Here is a 21,663-nt window from a genome sequence, read left to right on the forward strand (position 1 = left end):
ATAACACCCCCTTATCTGAATTTTTTCCCAACTTTCAGCTGCCTCAGCCTCCCTGAACTACTCCAATATCACTGTCTCTCTCTCTGCCTCTCTCTCTTCAACTCAGTGAGAGGATTGTGCTCTGCTTAGGATTTCTCTCCTTGCTCCATGGTCTAGAATGTGCCTCCAAATAGAAACCTAGGTGATAATAAAGCTCACTTCATTTGTTTCTCCTTTCTCAAGAATCACAATCCTGTGCTACCTCTAATTCAGTATCAGAAAACAGCTGTTTCATACATCTTGTCCAGTTTCTTCCTGTTTACATTGACAGGATAAATATTGTCCCTAATACTTCATCATAGATTAAAGCCAAAGGTCATTTATGCTTTTTAAAAAAGTATTTACTTTGGGAGGCTGAGGTGGGTGGATCACTTGAGGTCAGGCGTTCAAGACCAGCCTGGCCAACATGGCAAAACCTCAACTCTACTAAAAATACAAAAATTAGCTGGGCATGGTGGCATGTGCCTGTGGTCCCAGCTATTTAGGAGGCTGAGGCACAAGAATTGCTTGAACCCAGGAGGCAGAGGTTACAATGAGCTGAAATCACCCCACTGCACTCCAGCCTGGATGACAGAACGAGATTCCATCTCAAAAAAAAAAAAAAAATTACCAACAAATTTTGGGAGGTAGTATGGAGAAAACATGTGTTCAGTCTACCACATTTAAATGGAAATCTACTTCAATTTTTTTTTTTTTTTTTTTGAGACAGGTTCTTACTCTGTCACCAAATTGGAATGCAGTGATGCAATCACAGCTCACTGCAGCCTCAACTTCCCAGGGCTCAAGCCATCCTCCCAGCTCAGCCTACTGAGTAGCTGGAACTACAGGTGTGCACCACCAGGCCTGGCTAATTTTTTGTATTTCTTGTAGAGATAGGGTCTCACTTTGTTGCCCAGGCTGGTCTTGAACTCCTGGGCTGAAGTGATCCCCCCACCTCAGCCTCCCAAAGTGCTGAGATTACAGACATGAGCCACTGCACCCAGCCTACTTCAATTTTTTAAATTACAAACATAAGACATAATAGTTTTCAAATTAGTAATTATTCCAAAACAGAGGAATAAGATTATTTTCACCAGGGATGGTGGCGCACACCTGTAATCCCAGCACTTTGGGAGGCCGAGGCAGGTGGATCACCTGAGGTCAGGAGTTCACAACCAGCCTGACTTACATGGTGAAACTCCATCTCTACCAAATACCAAAAATTAGCCAGGCATCATGGCGCATGCCTGTAATCCGAGCTACTTGGGAGGCTGAGACAGAAGAATCGCTTGTACCTGGGAGGCAGAGGTTGCAGTGAGCCGAGATTGCACCATTGTACTCCAGCCTGGGCAACAAGAGTGAAACTCCGTCTCATAAAAAAAAAAAAAAAAAAAAAAAAAATTGTTCTCAACTTTTTGCCAAGGTGTCTGTGGTCATTTTGATAAGGATTGGCTTGAGCCATAAGTCAGTTCCACATCCAGTTGTTTTCTTTACTTACTTTCAACAGGATCTTTTGATAAAAGAACTATGCCAGGTTTGTTCTGCCTTCTCTCCAAGCCCTATGCTTGTCATTAGTTTAACTTAAGCTGACTATTCAAGCATCCTTACAGTAGTATGACTTGTATATGTTTTTGCTCTAAGTACAACTTTAAGTAATACCTCTGTAATTTTGGTCTCTGCTCTACCTTTATTAACAAAATCCATATCCTACACATACTCTGGAAAATGTCCATTGATTTACCAGAGAAGTAACCATATTTTTTTTTAACTTTGATGGCCTTTGCCACTATCGGACAAAGCATCACAAGAAACAATATCCTTAGGGATCATTCACAACCCAATAAAGTCCAATTTTCAGATATTCAGCACTGTATTTCCTATTTGAACTCTTCTTTTTCAGCTACTGTGCCAAATCAGCACTCCTGCTGATTATATTCTCCTAGCTCATAAAGATTCATGGTGTGTATTCATAGTGTAACCCTATTAAGTATTTACACTTACAACATTATTCTCTATTGCACTATTGACAATATTATTCTTCATCATTAATTTTACTCTTTGATGAACTACTTTTGAATCATGAGAAATAATGCAACACAATAGTAACAACAAAAATGTAGATTTTGTCTGGGTGCAGTGGCTCACACATGTAATCCCAGCACTTTGGGAGGCTGAGGCAGGAGGATTGCTTGAGTCCAGGAGTTTGAGATCAGCCTAGGCAACATAGCAAGAGCCCATCTCCACAAAAAAAAAAAAAATTATTTTTAATTAGCCAGCCAGCTGGGTGCAGTAGCTCATGCCTGTAATCCCAGCACTTTGGGAGGCTGAGGCGGGTGGATCACCTGAGGTCAGGAGTTTGAGACCAGCCTGACCAACATGGTGAAACCCCGTCTCTACTAAAAATACAAAAAATTAGCCGGGCATGGTAGGCACCTGTAATCCCAGTTACTCGGGAGGCTGGGGCAGGAGAATTGCTTGAACCCAGGAGGTGGAGGTTGTAGTGAGCTGAGATCGCACCATTGCACTCCAGCCTGGGCCACAAGAGCAAGACTCTGTCTCAAAAAAAAAAAAAAAAAAATTAGCCAGGCATGGTGGCTTGTGCCTGTGGTCCCAGCTATTCAGGACACTGAGGTGAGAGGATGACTTGAGCCTGGGAGGTTGAGGCTGCAGTGAGCCATGTTCATATCAATGCACACTCACCTGGGTCACAGATAGAGACCCTGTCTCAAAAAAAATAGATTTTTATGACTAAGATTTTAACACTCATAATGTGAAACATATTCAAAATAAACTATAACTGATAACTGAAATTGGCTATGATGAACTAGCCAAAATAGTCCTTGCAGTAAACGTCATGAAACAATTATTAATAAAATAATAAAATTTCTATGATAGTTGTAATCTTTTTCTTTTTAGCTTTTTTTAATGAGACAGAGTCTTGCTGTGTCACCCAGGCTGGAGTACAGTGGCATAATCTCGGCTCACTGTAACCTCCGCCTCCTGGGTTCAAGCAATTCTCCTGCCTCAGCCTCCCGAGTACTTGGGACTACAGGCATGTGCCACCATCCCTGGTTAATTTTTCTATTTTAGTAGAGACAAGCTTTCACCATGTTGTCCAGGCTGGTCTCGTATTCCTGATCTCAAGTGATCTGCATGCCTCGGCCTCCCAGAGTGCTGGGATTACAGGCGTGAGCCACCGCGCTCAGCCAGAAAACCTTATCTTATTATTTATTTATTTATTTATTTATTTATTTATTTATTTATTTTTGAGACAGACTCTTGCTCTGTCGCCCAGGCTGGAGTGCAGTGGCATGATCTCAGCTCACTGCAACCTCTGCCTCCTGCGTTCCAGCAATTCTCCTGCCTCAGCCTTCCGAGTAGCTGGGATTACAGGTGCATGCCAACACATCCAGCTAATTTTTGTATTTTTAGTAGAGATGGGGTTTCACCATGTTGGCCAGGCTGGTCTCAAACTTCTGACCTCAGGTGATCCACCTGCCTCAGCCTCCCAAAGTGCTGGGATTACAGGCGTGAGCCACCACACCCAGCCCTTAATCTTATATTTTAAACAGTTAAGTGTATATGAACAAAACTGTTTCATCACTCTTTACTCTGAAACTATCAAACCAGTTGCAAACTCCTTGACAGACCACCAGAGTTTTGTGGACAACCTTTGAGAAACCGTATTCCAGGATAGGCATTCGTATCTCTAATCAGTCGTAGTAATTACTGATTTTCAGGGCTCCACACATTGAAGGCATTTAATAACCATTTAATAAATGATTAGTCAATATTTATTGGTTTTGTTCATAAGCACTATTCTAAACTCTGAGGATATAGCAGTGAAAAGACATTGTTTCTATCCGGAGGTGCTTCCTCTCTAGTGGTGAAAAGCACACAATACAAGGAAATACAAGTTAAAAAATATTAGTGATATAAAGTTCTACAGTTGAATGTCCCCTCGAAAACTCATGCTGAGGCCCAGTGCAGTGGCTTACACCTGTAATCCCAGCACTTTGAGAGGCCAAGGTGGGTGGATCACTTGAGCTCAGGCGTTCGAGACCAGCCTGGCCACCATGGTGAAACCCCCGTCTCTACTAAAAATACAAAATTAGCTGGGCATGATGGCACACGCCTGTAGTCCCAGCTACTCAGGAGGCTGAGGCAGGAGAATCACTTGAACCTAGGAGGTGGAGGTTGTAGTGAGCCAAGATTGAGCCACTGCACTCCCGTCTGAGTGACAGAGCAAGACTGTGTCAAAAAACACACACACACACACACACACACAAAAAAAACAAAAACAAAAACAAGCAAAACCAAAACTCATGTTGAAACTTATGACAGTATTAAGAGGTGAGACCTTTAAGAAATGATGACAATATGAGGGCTCTGCCCTCATGAATGGATTAATGCCATTATCACAGAAGAAGTTATCATGGGAGCTTGGCCCCCTTTTTCTCTCTGTCTCAAACACTGGTTTGCCCTTCCACCTTCCACCATGGAATAATATAGCACGAAGGCCCTCATCAGATGCCAGCACCTTGATACTGGATTTCCCAGCCTCCAGAATGGTGAGAAATAAATTTCTTTTTTTATAAATCATAGTCTGCGGTATTCTGTTATAGCAACACAAAACAGACTAAGACATAAAAGGAAATAGTATAATGATATAAGTTGTGACTTCAAGAGGGCAAGAGCTACTTCAGATGGGTGCTCAAGGAAAACCTTCTGATGAGGTGACATTTGAGAGCAGAGAGCAAAGTGATGAGGAGTAGGCAAACACTGAGGAGCTGAGACCATTTTAGGTAGAAGGTCAGTACATGCAAAAGCCCTAAGGCAATAGTAATGGTTTGGCCTTTTGGAAGAACTGAAAGAAGGCTGAGGTACCTGAAGCAGAATGAGCAAAAGGAATGATGGAATGAGAAGAGGCTGGGAATACAGCCAAGTGCTAGATTAGCAGAGACTTGTGGGCTGTGGTGAGGACTCTGGGAAGCTACTAGAAGACTGTAAGCAGGGGAGTGACCGGAGCTAATTTACCTTCATAAAAGACCACTGGATAGTGCATGGAGTATGCAGGGGTTGGAGACAGGCAAAGTGAGGGTAGAGAGACCAGCTACAAGGGTTTTTAATAATCCAAGCAAGAGGTGTCTAGGGTGGAAGCAGTGAAGATGGAGAGAAGTGGATAGATTTTGGAAGTATTTTTTCATCTAGAACAGGTAAGGCTTGCCATGCATTGACTGAATTAATCAAGGAGTCCATTAATGAATCATTACTAAAATGGGGTGATCCAGAGGAGAAAGGTCAGTGTGTGCTGTGGAAGTTAAGGAATGCTTTCTGGGGGAGGCAGAATGAGAGCTGGGCTTGAGAAATGAGCTAATTACAGCTGAAGAAAAGTGAAACAGTAGGGATCTGATCTTAAACAAAATCAATGAGGTGGGAATGAGCTTCCATGTGTTTGGGGGATCTTGAGGAACCTGCCTGCTAGCTTGGTGTGGATATTGGTTGTTGAGGAACAAGCAGGATGATAGGATAGGGTGAGATGGGAAGAGCCTGGATGTAGTAGATCTGGAAAGCCCAGATGAGTGAACCTTGTACCTACCCTCTACTTAATCCCCAGAGAGGTGTACCATAGGCTTCCTATCAAGCTGACTGGCATTGAGCCCTTTCTCCAAGTTTTATTCCTCGACCCAGACATTCACTTTATTGCCTCAGGAGAGGTTCAGTGTGATCACTGACCTGCTCAATGTCAAGGTGACTGGTGAGTCAGTGGGCTTGGAACTGGAACAGGTCCTTGTCACATTTACCATCCCTGGCAGATACGGCAACACCTAACAGTCTATAAATGCCTCAGATAATAAGTAAAGTATACCATAAACTCTGAGCTATGGAGGCATCAGTCCGTCTCTGCCAAAGGTGGTAGTTTTTTCCAGCATTAGATGGGAAGCACCTCCAGGGCTGCCTGTTCAACCACCCACCCCCAAAGCAGCAGCAGCAGCTCCTCCTCCTCCTCCTCCTCCTCTTCCTTCCCCCCACCCCACCCCTCGCCCAGCAGGCTGGCAGCCCAGCCTTTCCTGTCTCTACCAAGGAAGGTGTGTGTCCCACAACTCCACGAAAGGGCCCCTGTTACACCTGGAGAGGAGGCTTGGATTTTAAAATGCCAGACTCTCTAAGAGACCCCACTGAGGTGGTCAAGCTTACATTTCCAGGCCCTGTCACCTCTGTGACTATAACAGATACTTCCCTGCCATGTGGTTCCAGCTCAACTGTAAGCTCTACAAAGGCAAGGATGATGCTATCTCATACCTGCTTGTCCCCAGCAGCCAACACAGTGAGTGTTTAGAATGCATTCGCTAAACAAATGATTGACCATGATGTGGACTTAGGGATGGGACACAAAAACTGCTCAATGCCTATGCAGCTCCTCTGGAGGTCTGCTCACCACCTCCATGGAATAACAGCTGCCTTTTACTCAGTTGTGCATTACGGTGGTAGGCACATTTCCCACAGCAGTTCATTTAATATTCACAACATCCACCTTTTATGGGGAGCATGCTTATCTGCATTTTACTGATGAAGAAACTGAAGGTAAGATGAGTTAAGGTCACACTGCTAGCAAGAAGCAGAGCCAGGACTCCCACCGAAGTCTGACTGACCCCAAAGCTCTCATCCTTTCAGATTGTAAGCCTAGAGTGCTTCTGTGAGCAAAGTCACTGGAGTCTTCCACCTGCCACTGGGATGGCAATACAGCAACCCTTTAGCTCCCCCTCCCACCTTGGCAGGAAGCGGTTTATCAGATTAACAACCTGCCTGCTCCCACAGCAGCGACCAGTGCTCTAAGGAAACAGAATTGGGCTGGGCTCAGCCTTCTGTGGGGGCCAAGGACACAGGGATACCCCAGGCCTTGGAACTGGGGTGCTACCTTGTGCTTTTCCCCTTCCCAGCAGGAGATCCTAATGTATCCTTTGACATCAATGTCAGTATGAAGTAATAGGAACTACACAGAATTTGGAGACAGACAGACATGGGTTTGAGGTTTGAGCCTTGACAGGCTTTGTGCCCTTGGACAAGCAGCATAGCCTCTCAATTCTCAGTTTCTTCAGCCAAAGAATGGTTTCATGACATCATGGGAGTTATCTTCAGTATTAAATGAGATGGCATGTTTAAGGAGCTCACTCCACAACTGGCACCTAACAGTGCTTTTAAACAAGAGTTTTCCTTTCCTCTCAACTGGATAGGGCAACAATTATTGGTCCCACTTGTCAGATGCGCAAACAGGTGCCAATAGGTTGAGTGGCCTATAGCTAGAAGAAGGGTGCCATCCCCTAACTCACAAGCCAAGGCTCTTTCTGCTGCCTTTTATCTGGCTCCTCAAAAGCAAAAACAGTTTGTTCTCCCCAAAACTGCTGATTTTGCCTTGAATAGGTAGCAGTCTGGGTCCTCTTCCTTTTCTCCTTGCTCCCTTTCCCCATATTCTTATTTTACCAGTCTCTTTGCTCACAAATCAGACTTATCATCATAAAGCAATAGAAAGGGCCATGGGCAGAATGGGAGGTAAATACAGTCCTCTCCACAAGGAAAACAAGCCCTCTCTATTGGTGCACAGTCATGACTCACCCCAGGCCTTTTATGAGGGCCAGATGCTGAGCATGTCTGAATTGCTTCAAATTGCTTCTTCTTCAGTGTGTGCTGGTGGTGGGGAGGGGAACAACCAACATCTATATATATTTATACATTTACCAGGAAATGTGTTTAAATTGTTTTCCAATCAAGTTTTACCACAAGCCGGGAGTTCCACACCTAATGAGTAGGCCAAACCCAGCCCATTGTCAACAGAGAAAAGTACATCTCAAACATAAAAGATTTCAAATCAAAATGGATATTAGAAGAGCATGATTCTTGGCATTGCTGAGCAGCCGGAGTTGTCTCCAGCAGCTGACAGTGTGAGTAGTAGTTGTTTTGAGGCTGACTTCATCCTGGATACCTTAGGAGCAAGGCAATGAAGGCTTCCAAGGAAGGAAAGCGTCTCTTTATGGCCTGCAACTGCTATACATTCAGACCTTTGGAAATCCCTGGTGTGGCTGCTGACCACCGAGAGCCCATCCCTGAGTTTGCCCACAAGGCAGCAGCCCTGCCTCAACCTGTCTGTTGCTCTGGGGCCACGGCTTGGGTCTTCTCTAAGACAACTTGAACCTAGAGATCTGTATGGACCCCTTACATCCGGATGTTACTTGTTACTTTCTTTTTTTTTCCTTTTTCTTTTTCTTTTCTTTTTTTTTTTTTTTTTGAGACAGGGTCTTTCTTTGTCACCCAGGCTGGGGTCCAGTAGCACAATCATAGCTCACTGAAACCTTGAACTTCTGGGCTCAAGCAATCCTCCTGCCTCAGCCTCCCAAGTAGCTGAAACTACAGGCATGCACCACAATGCCCAGCTGATTTTTAAATTTTCTGTAGACAGGGTTTCACCATGTTGCCCAGGCTGGTCTCGAACTCCTCATCTCAAGAGATCCTGATGCCTCGGCCTTCCAAAGTTCTGAGATTACAGGCATGAGCCACTGTGCCCAGCCCAGACATTACATTTTGTAGTCTTCAGTCAGTGTCCAAAATATAAGCCTTCTCATTTGTTCTTTCTCACATTCTCATCACCACACTGCTCTGTGTCCTCTCCCAAATCCCTTTCCCTTTCTCTGCAAGGCTTTCCTCTATGCACACTGGATCCTCATTCCATGGCAAATCAATCCTCTTCGTCCTTCATCTTCTCACAGAATGCTCTCTCCTCATCTTGGCCTCCCTAAGGCCTGGTCATCCCCCAGTCACAGGTGTGACTATCAGCTATCTTCAGTGATGGCTTTTTATTCTGCTACACCTGTGTATCTACCTGGGTCAGCAGATTAGGCCTGCAGGTAAGGTCAGTGTTCTCACACTCCTGTGCTCCTCTAGACCATTACTCTCCTCCCCCAGGGAACTGCCTTGGGGATCACACCATCTGGCTACACCAGCTTCCCTGTATTTTGTGTCTCCTGCCATATTCCTGCAGTCCAGTGTGCAGTGGGAGGACCGTCCCAGGCCATGCCTTACCCTCCTTATATTGAGTGACCCTCATCTCCCTTCCATATCCATCACCTACTGCCACAGCCACACTATCTGGTTTTTAATCCCTCTGAGATCGCTAGTCCCTTGATCCCTCCTCCTTCTCCCAGCTTATCATCCCCCAAACAGCATTCTCTCCTTTCCAACACAGCTTAAACTATTCTCTCATCCACACCCTCCATGCCTGGTACTGATATTCTGCTGCCCCCCAACCCCCTGCACCATGTCCCGTTTGCCTTCTCCTTTCTGTACTGGTAGCTAAGAAGAGCTACAGAAGAAAATCACATGCCTCTACCACCCCACAAATGTGCCTGCACAGAGGCTGCTGACTACCAACCCTAATATGTCTATTACCACCACCTTAGGATCTTGATTTGGAATAAAAATATTTCCCAGCATCCCTTAGACCAAAACACGGCCACATCACTCAGCTCTGGTCAGTAAGATGTGAGTAAAATTATTATGTGGCAGCTTCTAGGAAATTTCTTTAAAATACACCCAGAATGTACCCTTCATCTCATCTTCTTCTCCTCCATCCTTCTTGGAACATGGATATGATGGCTGGACTTCATCCTGGACCATAAGGATAAGGGTCACACCTGACGGATGGCAGAATGGAAAGCTAGAAGCAATCTGGGTCCCGCAGAACTGTAGAACCTGAATTGCCTACAATAGGCTTTCTTTTATATGAGAAAGAAAGAAATGTCATTATGTTTAATCCACTGTTTTTAGGTCACTGTTACTCACAGCTCCTCACAATAGAACTGAATTCTACTAACACAATGCCCTACACACACAGTCAATTCTTCTGCTTTTCCTTGGTCTGCTTACTTTCCTGACCCACTCAGGCTCTAGGGCAAGACAGTGTCTCACAGTTTTCAACACACTCAACTGCCACCCCTTCCCTAATCTCACCAAGTGACCTTCCAGTCTTTAGTTAGGTGGCTAGATACAAGATAAACATTTTAAAATTCATAACCTTTCTCTATTCCAGCAGCAAGCACTACAAAGGAAATGGGGAAAGTATTGCACTTAGGCAGCCAAAATTATAACACATTTAGAGATCTATTTAATACAAAGACACTGAAACCTAAATGAAGAACATGTATTAGAAGATATAAAACAATATCTGGGTAATAGAAAGCTATGGCATTTTCTTGGAGAAGACCTACTGGCTTAAAAAATGTCAGTTTGGGCCAGGCATGGTGCCTCATGCCTGTAATCCCAGCACCTTGGAAGGCTGAGGCAGGCAGATTGGTTGAGTCCAGGAGTTCAAGACTAGCCTGGGCAACATGGTGAAACCTCATCTCTACGAAAAGTACAAAAATTAGCTGAGTGTGCGGTGGCATGCACCTGTAGTCCCAGCAACTCAGGAGGCTGAGGTAAGAGGATCCCTTGAGCCTGGGAGGTTGAGCTGTGATCATGTCACTGCACTCTAATCTGGGCACCAGAGTGAGACCATGTCTCAAAAAAAAAAGTCAGTTTCCTCAAAATGTGTGTGTGTGTGTGTGTGTGTGTGTGTGTGTGTGTGTGTGTGTATGATTAGTTCCAATTAGAATCCCAACAATGTTTTTAATAGAATTTTATGAAGATCCCTGAAAAGAATAAATGACTGAAAATACTAAGAAAATTATAAAAAAAGAACAGTAAAAGGGACTTGCCTTACCAGAACATATTATAAGGTCAAACGGAAATAGAGAAATAGATCAGTAAAATAAAATAGAAAATCCACAATCAATAGAAGTATTTATGAAAAGTTACCACGATGCATGTGAAAGTCTAATTTGGTAGGAAATAAAGTTTCCTTTTTTTATAGTGTATAATGTGAACTTTTGATATCTGTATACATTGTGAGATGGCAAAATCAAGCTAATTAACATACCCATTACTTCACATACTTATCATTTGTTTTTGTAATAAGAATATTAAAATATACACTCTTAGTAATTTTCAACAATACAGGCCATCGCTGGGTGCGGTGGCTCACACTTGTAATCCCAGCACTTTGGGAGGCCGAGTCAGGAGGATTGCTTGAGTCAAGGAGTTAGAGACCAGCCTGGGCAACTCAGCAAGACCCTGTCTCTAGTTAAAATAAAATTTAAATTTAAAAAAGACTCTATGGCCGGGTGTGGTGGCTCACGCCTGTAATCCCAGCACTTTGGGAGGCTGAGACAGGTGGATTACCTGAGGTCAGAAGTTCAAGACCAGCCTGACCAATATGGTGAAACCCTGTCTCTACTAAAAATACAAAAATTAGCTGGGCGTGGTGGCAGGCACCTGTAGTCCCAGCTACCCCGGAGGCTGAGACAGGAAAATTGCTTGAACCCGGGAGGCAGAGGTTGCAGTGAGCTGAGATTGTACCATTGCACTCCAGCCTGGGTGACAAAGCAAGACTCCGTTTCAAAAAAATAAATAAATAAATAAAAAAGACACTTATCATTCAGAAAATAAGGAAAAAAAAGAATACAGGTCAAGCTTAGTGGCTCATGCCTGTAATCCCAAAACTTTGAGAATCCGAGGTGAGAGGGTCACTTGAGCCCAAGAGTTTGAACCAGCCTAGGCAATATAGTGAGACTTTGTCTCTACTAAAAATGAAAAGAAATAGCCAGGTGTGGTAGCACATACCTGTGGTCCTAGCTACTCGGGAGGCTGAGGTGGGAAGATCATTTGAGCCCGAGAGGTCAAGGCTGCAGTGAGCTGTGTTCATGTCACTGCACTCCAGCCTGGGTGCCACAGACAGACCCTGTCTTCAAAAAAAATACTAAAAGAATACAATACATTCTTGGAAAGCTGAGTCAGGAGGATCACTTGAACCCAGAAGTTTTAAGACTGCAGTGAGCAATCATATCATGCCACTGCACTCTAGCCCAAGCAACTAAGCAAGACCCCATTTCAAAAAAAAAAAAAAACATAAGTGTGATCCAACGAGTATATTAGCATGACCCCAAAACCGTGTGTGTGTGTGTGTGTGTGTGTGTGTGTGTGTGTGTGTGTGTGTGTGTGTGTGTTAGGGCTTGAAGAAGTCTTCCATGAATAAGTAGCACCCTTCTTCCTTGCCCAAGGGTCTGAAAAAGTTGAGAGTAAACAATGAATAAATACAGGGCCAAAATATCCTTTTTTTCTTTTTCTTTTCTTTTTTTTTTTTTTTTTTTTGAGACAGGGTCTCACTATGTTGCCCAGGCTGGTCTCAAACTTCTGAGCTCAAGGGACCCTTCCAGCTTGGCCCCCCAAAGTGCTAGAATTATAGGTGTGAGCCACCATGCCTGGCCATTTTTTTTTTTGAGACAGATTTTTGCTTTGCCACCCAGGCTGCAGTGTTGTGATCACGGCTCACAGCATCCTCAAGCCCCCACAGGCTCAAGTGATCCTCAGCCTCAGCCTACCAAGTAGCTGGGACTATGGGTACATGCCACCATGCCTGGCTAATTAAAAAAAATTTTTTTTTTGTAGAGATGGGTGTCTCACTCTGTTGCCCAGGATGTTCTCAAACTCATGAGCTCAGTGATCCTCCCATCTTGGCCTCCTAAAGTGCTGGGATTACAGGTGTAAGCCATTGCACCTGGCCCACAATATCCTATTTTTAATGATGCGGCTGATTCCCCTACCATCAGACTGTCACTCCTTAAGCCCCTCCTCTGTTAAATTCTGGATTGCCCATAGCCAGTCCAAATATCTACATCCTATCTCAGTCAGTCTCATAGAAAAGAAGATGACTCTTTGGGTAACTAACTCTCAAAATCTGTAGTTTTTCCTTATTTCAGTAGTTGTGAGTATACCTCTGTCCCTGAACTGATCACAGTGATAGGCAGAATGGGATATGTTGATTGGCTTAAACAATCAGACCCCTGCCTGGAGCTTGGGGAGAAGAGTCAGTCGTACCAATGAGGGGGTAGAGTGAATTTCCCAAATGGGAATCCAAGAACTGCCTGCAAGAGAAGAAGGAAAATAAGTCTGGGCGAGGTGGTTCATGCCTGTAATCCCAGCACTTTGGGAGGCCGAGGCAGGCAGATCGCCTGAGGTCAGGAGTTCGAGACCAGCCTGGCCAACATGGTGAAACCCTGTCTCTACTAAAAATACAAAAATTAGCTGGGCACAGTGGCAGTCGCCTGTAATCTCAGCTACTCGGGACGCTGAGGCAGGAGAATCGCTTGAACCTGGGAGGCGGAGGTTGCGGTGAGCCAAGATCACGCCATTGCACTCCAGCCTGGGTGACAAGAGTGAAACTCCATCTCAAAAAAAAAAAGAGAGAGAGAGAGAGACGGAAGAAGGGAAATAGAAGTAGGGAGCTAACTAGCAAATGCCCCCTACACATGGGTGTGAAGTACCCAGAACTGGAGAGCCAGGTCACAGTCAAGCTGAGACCTGAAAGTGAGAAAGGAGTTAACAGGAAAAGAGGGATAGAAGACATTCTGGGCAGAGGGAACAAAGGTACAAAGCTTGGAGGTAAGAGATAATATAATGCATGCAAGAACTGCTAGGATTTCAGTATGCCTAGTGCACAGAGTGATAAGAGATGACAAGAGAACGTGCTGAATGGGTGAGCAGAGAGCAGACAAGGATTGTGAGCTCTTTGGTGATGGGATGGAATTTATATCTCCTAGGCAGTTTAGCACAAGCTTCAGATAAACAGACCTGGGATCGAGTTCAAATCCCAACACTGTCCCTCAATGATTTTGGACAACCTCTCTGAGCTTCAGTTTTTTTAATGTCTAATTTTATAATCTATAAAATACAGCTATTAATAGCTCTTTTTCAGAGTTGTTGAAGGGTTATACAACAGGGTATATGTATGGTCTCTGACATATAGATAGTCTGGATAAAAAGTAACTGTTATTATTACTATCAGTGCTTCTCTCAGGCCTGGCATCCCTGCCCTCAAAAACCAAACAATACCTAAGTAGTATCAGTAAACATCTGTGGATTGAAGGGCTGGCATCCCCTGTGAGTCAGCCTTGCCCCTGTACATAGCTCCATACTCCAGCAACTCCTTAGCCCCTGACCCCAGTCCTGCAGTGTCCTCCTCAATTTCACGGTGCTCACAACTGCCAAGAAATACCCAAAGCACAGGTATCAAAAGACTGGGACCCCAGGCTGTTGGGCCTGCAGAGATGACGGACTCTGCCCCACATGTGTACTCTGGCTGGCAGGTCCTGAAAAGACACAGCAACCAGGGCTTGGGAGAGACCAAGAGACCAAGGAGGACACAGCTGCCTGAAGATTAGGGAAAGCTTGGCTGAGTGAGACATCCCAAAGGTGATTTTTGTTGGCCTCCTCCAGAACCTAGGAGACTAACTCTTAGTGGTATATATTCCGGGATCTTAGCACCCCTTTCAGGGCATTTGGAAGTGTAAAGGATCACCATGTCTGAAGATCTGGATGTCAAATCTGTCACTGTCTATCTCCCCAGAGGCTGAAGGCCTTTAGGTGTCTATTCAGAAGCTGCTGGACACAGACCTTTTTCAGGCATCCCTAAAGGGTCTAGAGAATTGGTAGGTGTTGACCACATTATACCTGCCTGATCATCAGTGTGCACAGTGCATAAAAACTTGTACATGGAGGCCAGGTGCGGTGGCTCACACCTGTAATCCCAGCACTTTGGGAGGCCAAGCAGGGCGGATCACTTGAGGTCAGGAGTTCAAGACCAGCGTGGCCAACATGGTGAAACCTCATCTCTACTAAAAATGCAAAAATTAGCTGGGTGTGGTGGTGCATACCTGTAATCTCAGCTACTCGGGAGGCTGAGGCAGGAGATTCACTTGAATCCGGGAGCTGGAGGTTTCAGTGAGCCAAGATCGTGCCACCACTCCAGCCTGGGCAACAGAGACTGTGTCTCAAAAAAAAAAAAAAAAAAAAAGAACTTGTACGTGGAACTCTCACAGAAATAGGCTTGAACCTCAGCTCTGCTATTCCATATTTGACTTTGGGCAAGGTACTTTACATCCTCATCTTCAGTTTTCTCATCTGTAAACTGGGGATGGCAATGCCGAGAATTAAATAAGAAAAAATACGCATAGTGCAGCCAAAAGCGGTGGCTCATGCCTATAATCCTAGCACTTTGGAAGGCCAAGGCAGGTGGATCACTTGAGGTCAGGAGTTCAAGACCAGCGTGGCCAACATGGTGAAACCCCGTCTCTACTAAAAATACAAAAATTAGCCAGACATGGTGGCATGTGTCTGTAATCCCAATTACTTGGGAGGCTAAGGCAGAAGAATAACTTGAACCCAGGAAGCGGAGGTTTCAGTGAGCCGAGATCACGGGCCACTGCGCTCCAGCCCACGCAACAGAGCGAGATTCCATCTCAAAAAGAAAATATATGTGTGTGTGTGTGTGTGTGTGTATACACATACATATATGTGCAAAGTGCTAAATATGAACATCCTTCATAAATATTAGTTCCTTTCCTTCCTTTGTTGCTATCAGGCTTTTTTCCTTACTCTTGGGTTCTTTCTCCTATTCTTTGGCACCCATCCATCTTGTCTCCTATTCTTGCTGTGTACTGACTGTCAGGAAGCTTCATAGTGCTGTCCTCTTGGATTAACTTCCTCCCAACCCACGGCACTGGCACTTCAGAAGACTTGGCAGTAAAAAGAGCCATAATCATTCAGTCATGCAAATTGAGCACTCTATGCTAGGTCTTACGCTAAGCGAAGGAAATACCAAGGAGAATAAGGCAGTCTGTTCCTCATGAAGCTCCACCCCAGTGAGAGACACCAGCACAAAAGAGCTCATAATAACGCTGTGTAAAAATGCAGTGACTTTGGCAAAGAAGGGCCTACCTGCTGGGTGTGGGAGCCTCTAGGAGGAAGCAACACACAAGATGAGTCTTAAAGGATGAGTAGATACTGCCTAGAGGAGGGAAGGCGAGGGGAAGCATAAGCAAAATCAAGGAGGAGACCTAGAGCCTGGCATGTGCAAAGAAACATGGGCAGTTCTGCATTGCTGGAAAATAAAGTGGCACATAGCCTACAGTAGATGGCCAATTAATATTTGTTTGGGTAAGCATAGAAAGAGACTGATGGACAATACAGCAAACTGTTCAATACTATGAAGTTGAGAACAGGAGGCAAGGGAATCCTTCAGTTTTCACATTATACACTACCATGTTGTTTGAAATTGTTACAAGCATGTATCAATTTTATAATTTAAAAATACACTTTTGGCCTGGTGCAGTGGCTCATGCCCATAATCCCAGCACTTTGGGAGGCCGAGGCAGGTGGATCACCTGAGGTCAGGAGTCCAAGACCAGCCTGGCCAACATGGTGAAAACCCGTCTCTACTTAAAATACAAAAGATAGCCAGGAGTAGTGACAGGCACCTGTAATCCCGCTGCTCGGAAGGCTGAGGCAGGAGAATTGCTTGAACCCAGGAGGCAGAGGTTGCAGTGAGCTGAGATTGCATGATTGCACTCCAGCCTGGGTGACAGAGTGAGACTCCACCTCAAAAAAAAAACAACAAAAAACACTTTTTTGAAAATAATAAAAAGTTAATTTTGGCTGCAATGTGTAGAACAAGTTGGAGTTGGGGTAAGCCTGAGGCAGGGCGACCCAGTTATAAGGCTACTGCAGATGATGAAGGAGTCTTTTTTTTTTGTTGTATTTTTAGTAGAGATGGGGTTTCAACATGTTGGCCAGGCTGGTCTCAAACTCCTGACCTTGTGTTCCACCCTCCTCAGTCTCCCAAAGTGCTAGGATTACAGGCGTGAGCCACCGCACCTGGCTGATGAAGGAGTCTTAAACCAGAGAAGTAGCTATGGGGGTCGGGAGAAGGAAAAGTCTAGAGCTTCAAGATTGTACAGCTGTGTGGGTGGTGGTACCTTTACTGAGACAGAGACCATGAGGGAAAACAGGTCTGGGTTAGGAGGGGAGGAGAGGTAGAGACAATGAGAGTAGTTTTGTCCATGTAGGAGCTGTGGTGTTCATGGGATACCCAGCTGGTAACTTGACTATATGAGTCTGATGTTTCAAAAGAGACAAGAAGTGCCGGGCACGGTGGCTCATTCCTGTAATCCCAGCACTTTGGGAGGCCGAGGTGGGTGGATCACAAGGTCAGGAGATGGAGACCATCCTGGCTAACATGGTGAAACCCCGTCTCTACTAAAAATACAAAATTAGCTGGGCACGGTGGCGCATGCCTGTAATCCCAGCTACTCGAAAGGCTGAGACAGGAGGTTGCTTGAACCCGGGAGATGGAGGTTGCGGTGAGCCGAGATCATGCCATTGCACTCCAGCCTGGGTGACAGAGCAAGATTCCGTCTAAAAAAAAAAAAAAAAAAAGCTAGGTGTGGTGACACACGCTCGTAGTCCCAGCTACTAAGGAGGCTGAGGTGGGAGAATCGCTTGAATCAGGGAAGCTGAGGTTGCAGTGCCAGGGCACTCCAGCCTGGGCGACAGAGCCAGACTCTGTCTCAAAAAAAAAAAAAAAAAAAAAAAGACAAGAAGAAAATGTAAATTTGAGACATACCAGCATGTAAATCATTAAAACCAAGAGGATAGATGATACCACACAGGAAAAATATGGCAAAGAAGAAAAAGAGAGGGTCTGGGATGGACACCAGCCTTTAAAATCAGGCAGAACAGGCCAGGCACAGTGGTTCATGCCTGTAATCCCAGCACTTTCGGAGGCCTACGCGAGTGGATCACCTTAGGTCAGGAGTTCTAGACCAGCCTGACCAACATGGTGAAACCCGTCTCTACTAAAAATACAAAAATTAGCTGGGCATGGTGGGTGCACCTGTAGTCCCAGCTACTCGGGCAGCTGAGGCAGAATTGCTTGAACCCAGGAGGCAGAGGTTGCAGTGAGCCAAGATCACACCATTGCACTCCAGCCTGGATGACAGAGTGAGACTCTGTCTCAAAAAAAAAAAAGAAAAGAAAAGAAAAATCAGGTGGAAGAAGAATCCATGGTGACAGAGGAAGAACAGCCAGAGGAGTAGGAAGAAAACCAAGAGGTTATATGCTTCCTTGGAGGAAGAATGGTTTGGAAGAGGGAATAGATACCAGTGTCAAATACTTCTAAGAAGTCAAGGAAGATGAAGTCTCAAAGTGACCTTGACATGTCCATCAAGACCTCTGGGTTTCCTGGGAGTGTCACTCAGAATAATCCTAGGTAGGAAGGGCAGATACTGGAGCTTCCATCCTGCTAATGACTGTATGTGTGAGCTGACTTTTGCCTTTTCCTTTTTTATCCCAATACTGCAGGACCCAAACCTTATCACTACACTTAGTCTGGCTTTGTACATTCTGAGTTCTAGAAAGTCTCAAATGGAAAGGGCTGCGAACCACCCTTGGGCATCCTGAAAAAGGCACCAATCCTGGCACATCCCTAACTTTCTTTTTGACCCTGAGTAAGCCATAGTTCCTCTGTTGGCCTCAGTTTTCCCATTACTAACTAAAAGGGTCAGAGGGAATCATATTTAAGGGCCCCCTCCCAATCCTCATATTCCATGATCCAATAAACCCCATGAAGAGACAGCCTAGCTTTTTCTGAGCAGGGAGCATTTTAAGATCTGGCTTTGGCCGGGTGCAGTGGCTCACTCCTGTAATCCCAGCACTTTGGGAGTCTGAGGCCCAGCAGATCACGAGGTCAGATGGACACCATCCTGGCCAACATGATGAAACCCCATCTCTACTAAAATACAAAAAGCTGGGCGTGGTAGTGCATGCCTGTAGTCCCAGCTACTCAGGAGGCTGAGGCAGGGGAATCATTTGAACCCAGGAGGCAGAGATTGCAGTGAGCCGAGATCGTGCCACTGTACTCCAGCCTGGCGACAGAGCGAGACTCCGTCTCAAAAAAAAAAGATCTGGCTTCCTGGCTGGATGCCATGGCTGACGCCTATAATCCCAACACTTCGGGAGGCTGAGGCAGGAGGATTGCTTGAGTCCAGTAGTTCAAGATCGGCCTGGACAACATAGTGAGACCCTGTCTCCACAAAATTAAAATAAAAAAATTAGCTGTGCATGGAGGCACATGTTTGTAGTCCCAGCTACTCGGGAGACTGAGGCAGGAGAATTGCTTGAGCCCAGGAGATTGAGGCTGCAGTGAGACATGATGGCCCCACTGTACTCAAGCCCAGGTGACACAGTGAGAAGCTGTCTCAAAAAAAAATTAAAATTAAATTAAATTTTTAAAATCTGGTTTTCTGATGTAAAAGCTTGCTCAGAGATCACAGGCTGTGGTTTCCTTTTTGTTTTTTTTTGTTTGTTTGTTTGCTTTGTTTTTTGAGATGGAGTTTCGCTCTTGTTGCCCAGGCTGGAGTGCAATGGTGCAATCTTGGCTCACTGCAACCTCTGCCTCCCGGGTTCAAGCAATTCTCCTGCCTCAGCCTCCTGAGTAGCTGGGATTACAGGCATGCGCCACCACACCCGGCTAATTTTGTATTTTTAGTAGAGATGGGGTTTCTCCACGTTGGTCAGGCTGGTCTCGAACTCCTGACCTCAGGTGATCTGCCTGCCTCAAGCCTCCCAAAGTGCTGGGATTACAGGCATGAGCCACCGTGCCCAGCCAAAAGCACATCTCTTCTAATTGCTGCCACAGAACAGAAAGGAAGCTTTTCTTTCCAAAAAATGTTTATTCTCCAGTTGCCTAAGGAGAAACAGCGCAGGTTAAAACGGAACAGGTCAAAACTCCCATGCTAATCAGTAGTGGGATTTCACCTACGAATGGGCACTAATGGGCACTGCACTCCAGCCTGGGCAACACAGCAAGAACCTGTTTAGAAACGTATTTTTGTTTCATTAAAAAAAGCTTTAGTATGTTTTCTTCTCACTTGCTGTAATTGGAGGAACCTATTCTTGGAGGTAGGATGAGGTCAGTCCCATCCAAACCTATGGCTCAACGGAAGACAGTGGACAGGTCCCCAGAGGAAGATCAGGATATAATTTGACCAAAGGATGGAAGATGTTTACTACAGGTCTCTACTAGACACCAAGCACCATGCTACATTCTGGAGACATAATGTTCAAAGACACAATTCCTGCCTTCCAGGAGTTCACAGGAGAACAGTGATGAGGAAACAGTTATAATACAGCACAAGGAGAAAAGCATGAACCTGAGAACACACAGGAGCTCCTCCTGCTCAGCCACTCCAACGGGGTGAAGGGTCATAAAAGAGTGAAAGTGGGGGGTTGTCATGGAACTTCCCAAAAGAGGTAAATCTTTTAAACTTTTTTTAACATTATTTTTTACACACAGCCTCCCATAGGAGAAGGGAGTGAAATCTTGAAGGATAAGTAAAGCTTTATCAAGTGTAGATGGAAGAAGGGATTTCTAAGCACAGAGCACATCAGCAAAAGCATAAAAATCTCAAGAAAATGGGAGTAGCTGAGAATGACTGGACCATAAAGTACATGCAAGAGCCAAGGAGAAGAGGAAGCAGTCAGGAGAGAGTGGTGACACACGAGGCTGGAGAGGTGGGCAGACCTCAAAATCAGGCCGTGCTGACATTTATGCCAAGATTTAAGTGGCATTGACATAAACTCGACAGTTGGAGATCTGGGTAGGGTAAAGCATGAGGAAAACGTCAGGCAAAAAAACAGGGAACCAGAAAAAAGCCTGAAAAGGTGTTACCACAGAGGTGGAAGGACCAAGTAAAACAGAAGGAAAAACATTTAAAAGGGAAAGATAGGAAGTGGCAGTTGCTGCAAAGAGATTAGGGAGGCTAATTCCTGAGAAGACTTGTGATTAGTAATTAATATTGACCTTGACCTCTGACAGAACGATTTCAGTGACAGTGAAAGGGTTACGTTTGCTTGGAATTTAGTGAATGGGATTTAAAGTTGAAGTGACGACAGTAGGCTACTCTTTCAAAATATTTATGTTTTGCAAAAGCTATGTATCCAAATACTTATAAGATGCACTCAGTAATTCCCCTTCAGAAATTTATATTAAAGAAATAATCAGAAATATGTGCAAAGATGTATCACAAAGGTTGTACTGTTACTAATTATAGCAAATAATTGAGAATAACCTTGTGGTTATGGTTTAAAATGGCTAAATAAATTATAATGCATCCATATAATGAAAAGTTTAATGCCATGATTAAAAAATAATGTGGTAGAATACTTACTGGTAGAGTAGAAGTGTCAGATTACAAAATATAACATCCAGAATGCTCTCAATGTTGAAATAAATGAATATTATATATGCACAGAAATAAGATTTGAAGGATATAAACCAGAATGTGAACCTCAGTAGTTACCTCCAGAAGTGTGATTACAAGTGTTTGAAACATGTTTAGTTATTTGTACTTTCCATTTTTCTACTATAAATATATATTACTTTTGTAATGAAAAATACTAAGAGCTTGACAATAGAGAAAGGAGGAAGGGATTAGCTTTGAGGGAAACATGGTAGAGGCTTCTATAGTTCGAGGAAGATTTGAGCTTGTTTATGGGTCAAGGGAAAAGAAGGGAGAAATTGAAGCTATATGAGAGGAAATAATAGGAGAAGCCTGCCCTGGGCAGAGAAGAGGGTACCTGGGGACGAGGGCCCTGGGGAGATGAGGTGAGGATGGCAAAGAACCCAAAGGCAGCAGGAAAGAGAACTGTTCACGGATGCAT

This window comes from Homo sapiens, chromosome 1, assembly GCF_000001405.40.
Source record: "Homo sapiens chromosome 1, GRCh38.p14 Primary Assembly".
NCBI classification, from domain to species: domain Eukaryota; kingdom Metazoa; phylum Chordata; class Mammalia; order Primates; family Hominidae; genus Homo; species Homo sapiens.